This window comes from Homo sapiens, chromosome 14 (genome assembly GCF_000001405.40).
Source record: "Homo sapiens chromosome 14, GRCh38.p14 Primary Assembly".
Classification (NCBI taxonomy): domain Eukaryota; kingdom Metazoa; phylum Chordata; class Mammalia; order Primates; family Hominidae; genus Homo; species Homo sapiens.
In genome coordinates, this window is record NC_000014.9 from 26,913,983 (window position 1) to 26,928,785 (window position 14,803).

At 34.9% G+C, this 14,803-nt stretch overlaps 1 long non-coding RNA gene and 1 pseudogene across 1 annotated transcript in view; one reads left to right on the forward strand and one right to left on the reverse strand.

The window, feature by feature from the left end:
- The window catches only part of MIR4307HG (MIR4307 host gene), a 41,611-nt gene extending 40,850 nt beyond the window's left edge, over positions 1–761 (forward strand). Inside the window, exon 4 of the long non-coding RNA NR_110041.1 lies at positions 375–761. This is a non-coding gene — a long non-coding RNA (MIR4307 host gene). The remainder of the gene's footprint in view (positions 1–374) is intronic.
- On the reverse strand, positions 11,484–12,271 carry UNGP2 (uracil-DNA glycosylase pseudogene 2; annotated as a pseudogene).

Sequence of the window (14,803 nt, forward strand, 5' to 3'; positions counted from 1 at the left end):
GAAAATAGCATTGGAAGTGGAATCAGCAAGCCTCAGTAGGAGCTCTAAACCCTTCAGGAAATTACTGAAAGTTTAGTCAGGGTGCTTTACTTCTCTAAGCCTCAGTTTTCTTATATTTTATACAGAAATGATTATTTTTGTTCTGAGAATCTTAGCTAGTTATTATGAATAATGATAATAATATAAATGAATAATAGAAATGGAAACTTCATGCATTATAAAATACTACAGTAGATTCAGAGCAAGTTAAATAATAAAGCTGATTGAGAAGTTTTGCTGAAAGTGTAGCCTTCCTGGTCCAGAATACACCAGCTGAAATGTCTACTCAGAGAAGCTATAGACAGAGTAACTAAAAGGGTATATATCATTCTTAGGTCAAGAAGGGAAGCCAGAAGTCAAGGCCACAGAAGACACAGGAAACATCATTTCCAAAGTGGGAGACAAAGCTGTTAACAGGAAATTATTTGTAAAGTCAAGAGCCAAGCAAAACAGAAAAAGGACAAGAAATCTATCACCTGTGGGTATGAATGGTTCTAGGGAAGTCTGTTGACAATTGGAGGGTCTCAAAGGCGCTTTATGGTACTTATTTTATGACCCTGAGTCTGGAGTCTGATGAATTAAAGAGGAAATTCTGCTCTGGGCAACATTTAAGAGATAGTATCTCCAGGCAGTAACTTTCGTATTAACTCTCATAAGATTGATGCCATTCTGTCATCTAAAGTGTGGACAAAAGTAGCATTAAAGCAAAATGAAAGGATATACTAATCTTTGCATAGTTAATTTATAGCAATGCGATCTTTTAATCTATGTTTTTCTTTTTGGTCTCCTTGGAAAGCATGGTCATGCAGAGCAGTGGTTCTCCAAACTTTTCAGCACCAGGGACTGGTTTTGTGGAAGGCAACTTTTCCACATTCTGGGGTGAGGATGGGGGATGGTTTCAGGATTCAAATGCATTACATTTATTGTGTACTTTCTTTCTATTATTATTACATTGTAATATATAATGAAATAATTATACAACTCACTATAAGTGGGACCCCTGAGCTTGTTTTCCTGCAACTAGATGGTCCCATCTGGGATGATGGGAGACAGTGACAGATCATCAGGCATTAGATTCTCATAAAGAGCAGGCAACCTAGATCCCTCACATGCACAATTCACAATAGGGTTCATGCTCCAATGAGCATCTAATGCTGCCACTGATCTGACAGGAGGCGGAGCTCAGGTGGTAATGCCAGTGATGGGGAGCTGCTGTAATACAGATGAAGCTTTGCTCACTTACCCACTGCTCACCTTCTGCTGTATGGCTTGGTTCCTAAGCCGTACGGGCTATGCACTGGTACTGGTCAATGGCCCGGGGGTTGGGGAACCCTGATGCAGAGTTTACCTGTAGATTTAAAATAATCTATACCCCACAATTTTATTTTAAGATGAATGCTTCAAGATTACAAGCCAATTAATTTAGCCACATAGGGCACTTATTTTAGTAAGACAAAAAAAAAAATGACAACACAAAAACACCAAACTCCTTTTATTTTTAGAATCCAACAACTATAAACTTAAGTACACAGACAAGTTTTATATTTTTATCCAGTCAGAAAGCAAGTTCATGATGTTGGTTCTAGACATTAAAACTATTGGTTGTTACCAATCACATGAAATAAAAATAATATCAGCAAATATATGAGTTAAAGAATTATACTTTATTAGGTACTAAAGGCCACATAAAGAAGGTCAATGCGATAGTTCTGCTTCTCATTTTAAAGAAAATACAAACAATTCAAATGTCAGTTCAAGCTAAAAGAGAAAAAGCACAAGACTGCACATCATTAATTACTTTGTAAAAAAAAGTACTCAAAACATTTTGCATTCCTAGCAGCCAATTATAAGAGTTCCGATTGCTTTTCATTCTCATCAGCATTTAATACTATCAGTATACTTTAGTCATTCTTATAAATCTAGTAGTGGAATCTCACTTCAGTTATAATTTGCATTTCTCCAATGACATTAAATTGATGTTCTTACATTGAACATCTTTTCATGTGTTTATTTTCTATCCATATATCCTCTTTAGTGACGTGTCTGTTCAAGTCTTTTGCCCATTTTTTAGTCAATTGTTTCCTTCCAGTAAAAAGTGTAGTGAGTATATATATTTTCTAACAAACTCTTGGTTAGATATATGCTTTCAAAGTATATTTTTCTTCTCTATAGCTTGTCTTTTAATTTTCTTACTAGGGCCATTAATGAGGGAAACATTTTTAATTTTCATAAAACCCATTTATCAATTCCTTTTCTTTTATGTGATGTGTTTTTGTGTCATCTTTAAGAGCTCTTTACCTAACCATAGATTATAATGATTTTCTTCTATGCCTTCTCCTAGAAGTTTGAAGTATTACATTTCATATTTAGATCTGATCCATTTTTGAGTTTTTTTTTTTGTATATGGAAAGAGCTTTAGGTTGAGATTCTTTTTTTTTGCATATGGTTGTCCAATTGTTCTAACATTATTTATTGACAAAATTCATTCTCTATTGAATAGTTTTTGCACCTTTGTCAGAAATCAATTGGACATATTCGTGTAGGTCTGTTTCTTGACTTCATTTCATTGATCTATGTGTCTATCTTTTCACCAATACCACAATATCTTGATTACTATAGCATTATGCTAAGTCCTAAAATCAGATAGCATCATTCTTCCCACTTCATTTTTCCTTTCCAACATTGTTTTTCCTGTTCTATTTCTTGTGTCTTTTCAAAGAGATTTTAGAATCAGATTCAGAGTTGCATCCCTTTGAGCTTCTAATCTCCTTTTTTTTTTTTCATTCTAAATTTCTACAGTATTCATTAGGTGAATTGACTACAAAATGGACTGCACTGAAAACACATCACATGATTTCATCGAGGAGATAGGAAACTTGAATCCTTACTAATGAGAAGGAAGTTAAGTCATATTAATAAAACTAATAATATATCAAAGTGATTTTCAAAAATTGCACTTAAGTATTAAAATTTATCCCAGGAGATATACTACAGAATAGTTTCCTGAAACATGAGAGTTGTTTTTTAAGAAGGGAAATTATGAAACGCTTGTATGCTAGAATAAAAAGCTCTGTTAATAACAGAACAAAATGAACATTTAAAAAATGTTTGAAAGTACTGTGAACCCCTAGGGAGCTTATGTGTATGAGAAGAGAGGAAAGAGTAAGAAAGGGAGGGGCTTCCAGTAAATTGACTGAAGGAAAAGTACTAGCCATTTAATCTGCCAAACTAAACAGGCATCTGATGTCCAACAGCTTTGGGAACATTGATCCCCTTATTGCACTGGAGCCCTTGAGTCATTTGCAGAGATTTGATGACTTGCTTTATCGCCCCCTGGAGACATATAAATAGAACAACAAGTGCTTTCCCTGAGAAGATTATTAAGGGAAGTGAAGGGTATTTTTGACAAAGAAAAGTACAGAAATAATAAAGGCCAGATTACTTACTATCTACCTATCTATCTATCTATCTATCTATCTATCTATCTATCTATCTATCTATCTAGTTATATATATATATATATATAGTTATATATATTTTTTTGAAATGGAGTCTCACTCTGTCACCCAGGCTGGAGTGCAGTGGCTTGATCTTGGCTCACTGCAACCTCTGCCTCCTGGGTTCAAGCAATTCTCCTGCCTCAGCCTCCTGGTAGCTGGGACTACAGACACATGCAACCATGCCTGGCTAATTTTTTGTATTTTTGTAGTAGAGACGAAGTTTCACCATGTTAGCCAGGATGGTCTTGATCTCCTGACCTCGTGATCCACCCGCCTCAGCCGCCCAAGGTGCTGGGATTACAGGCATGAACCACTGTGCCTGGCCATACTTTATCTATTTTTAACTATCGCACCTTTTTAGCTGTCATTCAGCTTGGTCCATGTGATGTTTTACTAGATAGACTAGGACATATAAGCAGAGATATTTTAAAGAAATATGCAAATGAATCTTTCCTGGAGAAGCAAAGGTTAAAAATAAAAATAAAAAAACAGTAAACTCTGAGCATACTTTAAATTTTCAAGTACTGTAAAGCCCCCTTTACATAATGTCCTAATATATCGTATCCTCACATAAATTTTTCTGAAAATCAGTGTAGGCATAATTTTGTGATTAGATTTTTTTTCTCACAGGAAGCAGAAAGTACATAGTTCATTTTTCCACTTTGTAAGTACTATTATACATACACAAACGTTTTCAGGCAATGGTAACTTTCATCCTTGTTTTTCTAACCCTCTTCTCTTTTGCTCTGCAGAGATTAGTTATAAATAAAGAACATATAGCCAGCTACATTACATTCCTAGATGCCTGAGTTTCTATCAATAGTGCAATTTTTTGATGAAACACATAGAAAATATCAACATGGCAAACTCTGAGATGTTACCTGGCGCCCTTCCACCAAAAAGGATTTCTACCTCCTTTTCAAGACTGATTCATCTCTAGTTCACAAACAATCTAGCACTGAAATATTTCAGGTACCCACTCCTCTGAGGTCATTGTAAAAGCGAAGAATGAGACAACACCATATAAAAGAAAATTGTGTCACCTTTTCAGCAAATAAAAAGTTCAGTCTCAATTTCGTGCTGAAGTATGAAGCACAGTCCCTGAAGAGACAGCCAGTTTGGTTTGTTATAGCAGGATTTGTAACTGTGGAGGTGGAAAACTTTTTCAATCTATGAAAGATATTGTGAAACATTTACTGTGAAAAAGCTGGAATAATACCAACCAAAAGCTATAAAAGTAAGAGGGGGGAGGCTTAATTTGAGAAGTTTTACACTCTTTTATAAGAACGGCTCCATTATTCTTAATACAGACAAAGGTTGAGTCAAGTTTGTGATGCAGTAAATGAAAAGTTCAGCTCATCTCTTCAAGCGAATCCATACAGATTCACAGCATTCGTTTCTCTCCCTGTTCTTCCTTGCCCTGCACTTCTTCATTTTGATTAGCTCGTTCCCTTAACTGGTGAAGCAAACATTTGTCCTTCAAGTCCAATAAGTTCTAACTGTCATTAATCACAAGTTTCTTTAGTGAGTGTTTAAAAATTCTAATCAGGAGGGGAAGAGTGCTAAAGAGAAAATACGTGGCACTCTCCAGAAGAGAATCAGGGTCAAAAACTAGACAGCTAAGTTTGGAAGTCTCAGATAATTGAAAAACAAACAAACAAAGAAACAACAATCAAACTATAGCTCTCATAGTTTTGTTTTCAAATAGATGTATACATTAAAAAGTCACTTATGTTCCTTTTTTGTGTAGATTAATTTGGGTAAACTGATTGAGTGTATAAATTGAATTCTGTCCCCTTTGTCTAGCCTGCACGCCATCTTTAATGGTAGTAAAGATGTATGAGGCATTAAACAAGAGGCGATAATTTTAGAGAAGAAATCAAATGTCAGAGATTTCAAGAATTAAAATGCCAAACACAAATTAACATTTACAATTTTTCTGTATCTTCACACACAGATTATTATTTAGTAGTTATAATTCTATTAGTGCCTAAGTCTTAGGGGCTGACAATTAGGCTCTAAGGGAGGCATAGTATAATTAGAGTCATGGACTAGTGGAGTCAGGATTACCTCTACTTTAGCTGGAATCTCTTTATGATGTATGAATAGCCAGAATAAGAGGCATTTGAATATCCAAATATTTCATGTGTAGGCATATTTCTAATCCCTTTACAAGGCACCCCATGTAAGCTTCTATTTCTTTTCCCATTTCATTTCAGCCATCATTTATTGAGTTCTATTAGGCATTAGGTAAATATCAGGCTGTGTTAATACAAAGAAGAATACAAATGCTTTTAAGGAATCTCTGTCATTAGGAGAAAGGAGTAAAAAGAGAGAGGGGCATAAAGTAGTATTTTATTGCAATATTCAAAGTGTCATTAAAGGGTTGTATAGGATATCATGAAAAATAGATGAATTGTGTTTAACCTTACAAAGGAGAGGTGTTAGAAGACTCTCTGGAGGAGGTGACATATGGTGCTGAGTCTTAAAAGACAGGGTGTTGATTACCAGGGGAAGAGAGAATGGCATGAGTATGTCTATTTAAGGCAGATGGAAGAGTTTGGATAAAGGCATGTAATCATGGCTTAGTATGATGTGTTTAGTGCTTTCTAAATAGTTGTTATTGCTAAAGTGCAAGGCACACGGGAGGAGGCAAAACTAAAAAGCAGATGGGATGAGGCCATGCAAATCATCATATGCACATTAAAAATTTTAAGTTTTTAGATAAGTTGGAAGTATTGAAGGATTTTAACCAAGTGAGTAATATCAGGTCTATGTTTAAGGTAAATCAATCAATTGGTAAAGTGGAGAATGTATCTGAAGGGTATAGAAGACAAATATCAGAAGTAGATTCGAACATCCTAGGCCAAAGACGATGAAGGTCTAAATTGGAAGGTTGGATCCAGAAATAAGTGGTTGCCCAGATTTGATGCATAATAATTAAACAAAATTGACAAGACTTGTAGATTATATATACAGGTAAAGGTAAGGTCCTTATAAACAAAATACCTGAGATTTCTCACTAGGTGTCTGAATTGTTGGTAGAGCTATAAATTAACGTGGGATTTAGAAGGGAAATGATAAGTTCCATTTTAGATATCTTGAATTTAAGAAACTCCTGAGACATAAAAGTGGAGAGGTTCAGAAGTAGAGTAGATATACATGTTTAATTTTCTCAAGAGAGATCCTGGTTAATGCTGAGTTTTGAAAACGTAAGAACATACAGCTAGAGTTAAGGTAAAAAATGTGGTGATCTTTCAAGGAGAAATTTAGTATAAGAAAACTCACTCAGTGGAGAGGAAAAAGTTGAGTGCACTAGCTTTTAAGAAATAATAGAGTCAAAGTAAATTAAGATTATTTAGAAACAAATTACAGGAGTTTGGTGTTACAGAAGTGAGAGAAATAAAATGTTTTAAGCAATAGAGAATTATCCATAACATTAAAAACAGCAGAGGGAGAAATAAAAATTAAGACTGAAAATGTCTGTTGCATTAAGGAGTCAGCATTGACTGGGTTAGGAGCACAGGAACGCCCCATTTTATTGTGCTTCACACATACTGTGTTTCATCTAAATTGAAGGTTTGTGGCAACCCTGAGTTGAGTAAGTCTGTCGGCTCCATTTTGCTGATAGCATGTGCTCATATTGTGTCTCTGTGTCATATTTTGGTAATTCTTGAAATATTGGAAACTTTTTCATTGGTATTATATATATTTTAATGATCCGTGATCAGTGATCTTTGATGTTACTATTGTAATTGTTTTGGGGCACCACAAACTGCATCCATGTAAGAGAGAAAACTTAATCAATGCTGTGCATGTTTTGACTGCTCCACCGATTCACCTTTCCCTCATCTCTTTCGCTCTCTTTGGGCCTCTGTATTACCTAAGATGCAGCGATACTGAAATTCGGCCAATTAATAACTCTACAATGGCCTCCAAGTGTTCAAATGAAAGGAAGAATCATGCACCTTTCACTTTCAGTCAAAAGCTAGAAATGACTGAGTTTAGTGAGGAAGGCATATCAAAAGCCAAGGTAGACAAAAGGCTAGGCCTCTTGCACCAAACATTTGGCCAAGTTGTGAATGCAAATGAAAAGTTCTTGAAGGAATTAACAGTGCTACTCCATGAGCTGCTCATGGAGCAAGGAGTAATTTTGACTTTCCACTCTTATTACTGAAGAAATACATTTTGTAAAGTGATGGTTGCCATAGATAGTGATTCCTCGGATGAATCTGGGTAAATTTAAAATCTTCTGGAAATAATTCACCATTTTAGATGCTATTAAGAATATTTGTGATTCCTGGGAGGAGATCAAAATATCAACATTAATAAGAATTTGGATAAAGTAGATTCCAACCCTTATGGTTGACTTTTAGGGGTTTAAGGCTTCAGTGGAGGAAGTAACTGCAGATGTGGTAGAAATAAAAAGAGAACTAGAGATAAAATTGGAGCCTGAAGATGTGACTGAATTGCTGCCATCTCATGATTGAACGCATGAGGAGATGCTTCCTATGGATGAGCAAAGACAGTGGTTTCTTGAGACAGAATCTACACCTGGTGAAAATCCTATGAACATTGTTGAAATGACAACAAAGGATTTAGAATTTTACATTAACTTAATTGATAAAGCAGTGACCATGTTTGAGAGTATTGACTCTAATTTTGAAAGTTCTACTGTGAGTAAAATGCTATCAAACAACATAGCTTGCTACAGGAAATCTTTTGTGACAGGAAGAATCAATGGATGTGACAAATATTATTGTTTATTTTCAGAAATTGCCACAGCTCCCCCATTCTTCAATAACTATTACCCTGATCAGTCAACAGCCATCAACACTGAAGCAAGACCCTCCACCAGCATATCATTGTTGTTTATTTTCAGAAATTACCACAGCCACCCCATCCTTCAGTAAGCATTACCCTGATCAGTCATCAGCCATTACACTGAAGCAAGACCCTCCACCAGCAAAAGGATTATGACTTGGTGAAGGCTCAGATGATCATTAGCACTTTTAGCAACAAAGTATTTTTAAATTAAGGTATGCATATTTTAAAGACATCATGCTATTGCCTACTTAATATTAGTGTAAACACAAATTTTATATGCACTGAGAAACCAGAAAGTTCTTGTGATTCATTTCATCTGCAGTCTAGAACCGAACCCCTGGTATCTCTGAGAAATGCCTGACACTTTCAGTGGAGGCAGAAGCCAGGTTGCTGTGGATGCAGAAAGGAACAGCATGAGGAAGGCAGGCTGCCATGATACAGGCAGACTGCATTGTCAAAAATTTAGCATAAGAAGGATGTATGACATGATATCAGTGAGGCAAAGGAAATGTAAACCATTTGTAAATTATGTCATTTTTCTGCTACCTAATATCCAAAGTTTAAAAATTAAAGTACATTTATTTGGTACATGAGCTTTTCTATAAAATGTAACCTTCCACCAAGAGTGGGAAATACAGTGAGCTATGTAAGCTGTCATTGCCACAATATTGGTTTTATTTTACCCTTTTGTGAAAGTTCATTTTGATATTGCTGATAGAGGGGGTTGAAAATAATTCTACAAAATCTTGACGCTGTGCTTTTGAATTAATTCGAGTCTTCTTTTTGAAAATCTGAGCCTGTGAGACCAAGCTATACTTTTTCAATATTTATTAAATTACATTTCTAAAATCTAGGAACTATAGCTGGCTATAATGGATATCCCTATTGGTTAACACAAAGACGATGTGTTTGATTTCTTACAAGTTTTTTTTTTTTAATTATCACTTCAAGAAATATATACTTGGCAGCCAGAACTGGATTCAGAGTAACATGTTACCTTATTACTCCCTCTGCTTGTTAATAGATGAAAGTCAAGTCCACAATTTGTCATACGCTTGATACCCCTAGCTAAAGTGAATCTCATTATCCCCATTTTGCTCTTCTTTCTATGCAATTCTGTTTCTAACCCTCACTCATCACAAACCCCTCTCAAACCTCAAATTTAATGTTAATATTATCCAATCTGTTTTAGTTGGAGTGGTCTGTCATTGTTTTTACATAATACTACTTTAATTTATCTAAACTTATTTTTTAAAACTTGTTTAAAAGAGGCTTTTTATATAGAAAATAAAAATATAAAACAACTTGTCAATCTTCCATTATGGTCTATATTTATTTATTTATTTGGTCTGGTAAAAAACTCCTCCCATATTCTCTGGCTTAATGTTTACTTCTAGTTTTTTTTTTTAAAAAAAAAGGTTAAAGGGAATGGAAGTGACTACAAAGAATAAGAAAATTTTTTAAGGGGATGGTAATGTTCTACGACTTCATTGTTGTGATATCCTGTACATTGGTAAAACTCATTGGCTGTACCTCAAAAAAATACATTTTAGTGTCTGTGAGAGTATGCTTAAATAAATCTGAATTTTAAAATTGCCTCTTAAATTTAGATAATTAATATGGATATTAAAAATATGTGTAGGCTATTGACAGAGAAATTGTCCTACCAAATATTAAACATATTATAAAAGTGCAATGAAAGCGTTATAGACGTGACTCATGAATTGATTAACAATAAAACTGGCTAGATAGATACAGACCTATATAAATGTAATAATGCATGCAATGAATAAGACTTTAGTTTAAAATTAAAAAAAATGAAAGCAAATATGTTGGGAGTCAGTTTGCCTCTGTTAGAATCCTAGCTTCACAATTTCTGTCATGTGATATGGGGGAAAAGATTCAAACTGTCTATCACTCAGTTTTCTCATTAGTTAAACAACAATAATTCCTATTTCACAGGGACCATGTAGAGATTAAATAAGATAATACACATAAAGCAAAACTTCTTAACCTGTGATCCAGTAACACCCATGAGGTCCATGGGTAGGCATTAAGGGCTTGGAATTTTATGGAAAAAATTACATCTTCATTTTGATAAGCTGTGACTGAAGTGTACTATTTCCTCTATCATGAATGTAGGCAGCAAACCACAGTAGTATTAGCAGGAGCTATGGTGTTACCGTTAGAAATCAGATATTTTTATACACTACATTACTGTTTTTGTAAATATCTCAAAATCTTGTTTGATATTAGCCAACATAATAGTGTTATTAGCTCAACTTTCAGAACATATATTGTTGAATACATAGCCAAATATAAGGCAACTCTATACCTAGTAGCATTTCCTCCACCAAGTGATGAAGTCCCATTGTCTTGTATCAGTGACCCAAACACCTACACTGTTTTACAGTTCTCTGTATGTATACAATTGTTTGTTGATCAATACAGGGAAGAACAGATAAGTTACTTTTATCATTTGTCCAAATTTTGCAAAACTGAGCAATTTAAATGAGAATTGTCCATTCTGGGAAGGTAGTGTGTCATTTTTTAAGATAGGCATTCATGTAAGCTACACTATCAGCTTATATATTTATAGCTCTGTATTTGTGATTCCTCTTCATTTCAGCGCCTGCTGATTTCTCTTCTTCCGTTTAAACTTGGTTAGTATTCACTTACTGTTTTTATTTTACTTATGAAGCATTTCCAAGTATTTTACAGGAATGGGTTAAAATATTATCTTAGTGTGCCATATTTTCAGACCCAGAAGAACTTTCATTGTTTTATAACACATAAAAAATTCTTTATTGAATTTCAGGTTTTGTGGATTTTCATTCAGTTGGACTTTTTTTTTTTTTTTTTTTGAAACATGCAACTTTATGAATCGCTTGTCTTCCTTGAGGTCCGTTTCTTTTGAAATATGTTTCCTTTTCTGTTTTCCTCCTCTGGTCATGAGGTACTAACTCTTATGGGCTATTCACCCCTTTGCTGAGAAAAATATAAATGTATAGGTGATATCAATTTGGAATTAGGGCATATTTGGTTTTCTGTAAATCTTTTCTCTAGCAAATAGAAACTTTGAAAACTATTGTTATTATTATTTTCAAAACTTTTCAAAACTTTTAACAATCTTTCATTACCAAACCCCACGTAGGGCCAACTCTAACCTGGCTAACAGCAAAAACAGCATCACTAACAAGATCAAGGATGGAGGTGCAGACCCCAATAAAGATTGTCTCTTAAAAAAAGGATTGGAAATATATATATACATATGCATGAGTACTTTTTAAAAAACTAAATCTTTCCAGTGTTGCAGAAAAATATCTCCCAAAGTGATTTCAGTTGATAAAAAACAGCATTTGGTAGTCTGTGCTGCCTTAAAAACCCCAACTTGAGATAACCCTAGGAGAAAAATCACCCCCACCCCATAAAGATGAAATTCCCTTTTCTCCTCTTTCTTGTTCAAATTTCACTGCTTATTCCACCAACACCCAAAGAATAACAAGACCCAGCTCACTTCTCCCGGCACCTGTCTGATAAGGTTCACAGCAAGGGCTATTCCTTAAGTATCTTTGCCTCTACTACAGTCAGGAAATTGAGCCCTAATTTCTGGGCCAGATTCTGGAAACTTGCAAAACATCCTTATGCTTCGAGAGGCCTGAGGACTCCTTCAAAGATCAAGGGCCAGCGGACCTGGCAGAGACTGGCATGCCTGCCCTGCAGGGCTGGGACAAGGGGACTTTTCTCAGCAAAAGCACCCCAACACCTGTCACTGAAAGTCTAACGAGGCTAAACCATGGAGCAGCAGGCACCAAACTAGGGCTGTGCCTAAAAGGTGCACATCTCCCCTCTTTAGCCATAAACGCAAGGGAGATAAAGAGAATCAAGTGAGTATTTGACCTCATTGTTATTTTTAATTCTATAAATCTGAGGGCATTCCTAAGAAAGTATTCCTTGCTGAGAAGGCTCTCAAAGAATCCGATTCTCTACATCACAAATGTGGAATCTGGAATATTCGTGTGCCTGGTGAAGTTAGCAAATACCCAATCCTCCCTACCAATGTTCTCTCACATAGATTAGAAAAAGCAAGATTTCAGTTCTTTGAGCTACCTTGAATTTTTTTGTCTTGTGGAAGCCGACTGTGACTGTGAGAATGTTCTGAGTCATCCCTAATCCACGCATCATGGGAAGATATTTTTCTTGTTCTTTTAAGCATTTTTTTCCTAAAAAATATGCTTTCTTGTTTCTGCGCTCCTTTGCTGTTTTCATCTAAAATTTTTAAATCTGTGAATTGTATCCTGACAATATCATAAATATGTAAATAGGTTTATAGACTATCTCAGCATTCTAAATTGTCAGGAATAAAATACCACTGACAGATTTAGCATCCCACACAGGCAAAAGCATTCTTTAGTAACAAGGAAGAACTTTACCATATGGCACCCCGCTAGGTGGTGGAATACAAAGGTCTTCCAAAGTACTTATTATAATTCGTATACCATGAGAAGCTGACTAATGTTTTATTTTCTTTTTAATCAGAGATCTACTCACTGTCATGTCTTTCTTCCTGCCTGCATCTTCTAACTTTGGACATAAACTTCCTAATAAGCACCATCACAAATCTTTTCTCAGTTGCAAAAAGAAAATACAATAGGAGTCCTGAACCAATTAAATGAACATCATGAGTAGAAGAGAAAGAAATGTGTAAGATAGATGGAGATTGCTACCAAATGTTAACAGCCACAGGAAGACAAAAGGTAAAGAGCAAAAAGGTCACTGAACAAATATTTTAATAATGCTTTCTTTGAAATTCCATCAGTTACACATTATTACCTTTACCATGCTGCAGAAACTCAGGAGGGATAATGTGAACAGTATTATTTATAATACAACAAACCTCAACACCTCTAGGACACACATTAGCTTCTAAGCATTTTGCCATGTATTGCCTTATTTTCTGACTTTAAAAGTTGCTTTTCTTCAACACAAAATATCTATGTGTAGAATAAAACTAATATTAATGTAATAAAGGGTGTTTCTCATTGTCAGCTCAGTAGAATGAACTTCATAATAATATTATTAACATTATTTAATGCATTCTATGCACAGAGACTATATTAAATGATTTACATGTTTTTATTTAGTTCATCCTCATAGCCAAATGTGACGTAAATGCCATTAATTTCTCTGTTTTATAGAAGAAAAACAACTTAAAACATACAGAGTTGAAATAACTAGACCAATGTCATGTATGCAGTAAGTAAGCTTCTGAGATTTAAATGTAAATGTCATACTCTTAAACACTGCTGTACTATTATGTTGGTGCAAAAGTAATTGTGGTTTTTGCCATTAAAAGTATGGCAAAAAAAAAAAAAAACTGCGGTTACTTTTGCACCAACCTAATACCTCTTTAATTTACCAGTATTTCATTTAATTTTATATAAAAGAACGGTGTGGTGATACACCAAAGCCATTTCAAAATGGCATAATTCTATATTATACTATAGACTATTAAACACAGAAGCACATATAGTATTGAAATCCTTTCCTCTGGTTAAGGCTGTACATTATGTCATCGTGAAAACAGTATTCAATTGTGAGGAAGAAAAAAAAAAACAGGAATTAAGGATTCTTACTGTTACAAACTGACCGTGTGATCCAGGGTAGATTATTTATCCTCTACCTCTTTTCATCTGAAAAATGGGATGCACAGAATATATGTAGGTAATTAATTTGAAACCTAAAGAGTTTTGTTTTTTCTCTAATCTAACCAATTTCCAGAACACTGTAGTGTCATAGTTGTTGTTTGCTCTACAGATTGTCATGGGAAGCCACAGAAATATGCAGTACTGAAAGCCTACTCATGTCTTGTCTGTCTTAGGCAACCAGAACCCTTCAAGCACAAATGCTTTCGTTTCTTACCCCTGGCAGATCCAATTGCTCACTGTAATTTAGGAGGTAGAAGGGTGGACAGAGGTAGATACAAGATAACATTTCTACCACGTTTATAGTAGAAGTTTTATATCCTTTGAGATCTAATACAGGCCTATACATTTGAGCCATGATTTATTTTATATTTCAAAGTCTTTAACACTGAGAAATGCAGATAATTGTATGTAAAACTAAATAACATGACGTTCCTACTGGGAAATACATGTTCATACCAATTTGCAATCCTTTGAGGATCCCCTTCAGACCTTTTTGGTGTCATTAGGCTTCCATGGTTATTAGATGTGAGTTACTGCTTCACAGTTCTATGCTGGCAAACAGATTTTTTTTTTCATTGTTGTGCTGTGTGTGGATGGGGGTGGGTGGGAGGGGAAGTGGGGTGATGGAACCAACTAATACATAAGACTAGTCACATAAAACCTCAGTGACTGCAGAAAAAAAGTGAAAAATATCTGGAATCCTGAATGTTGCCTTTGCATTATCTTTGA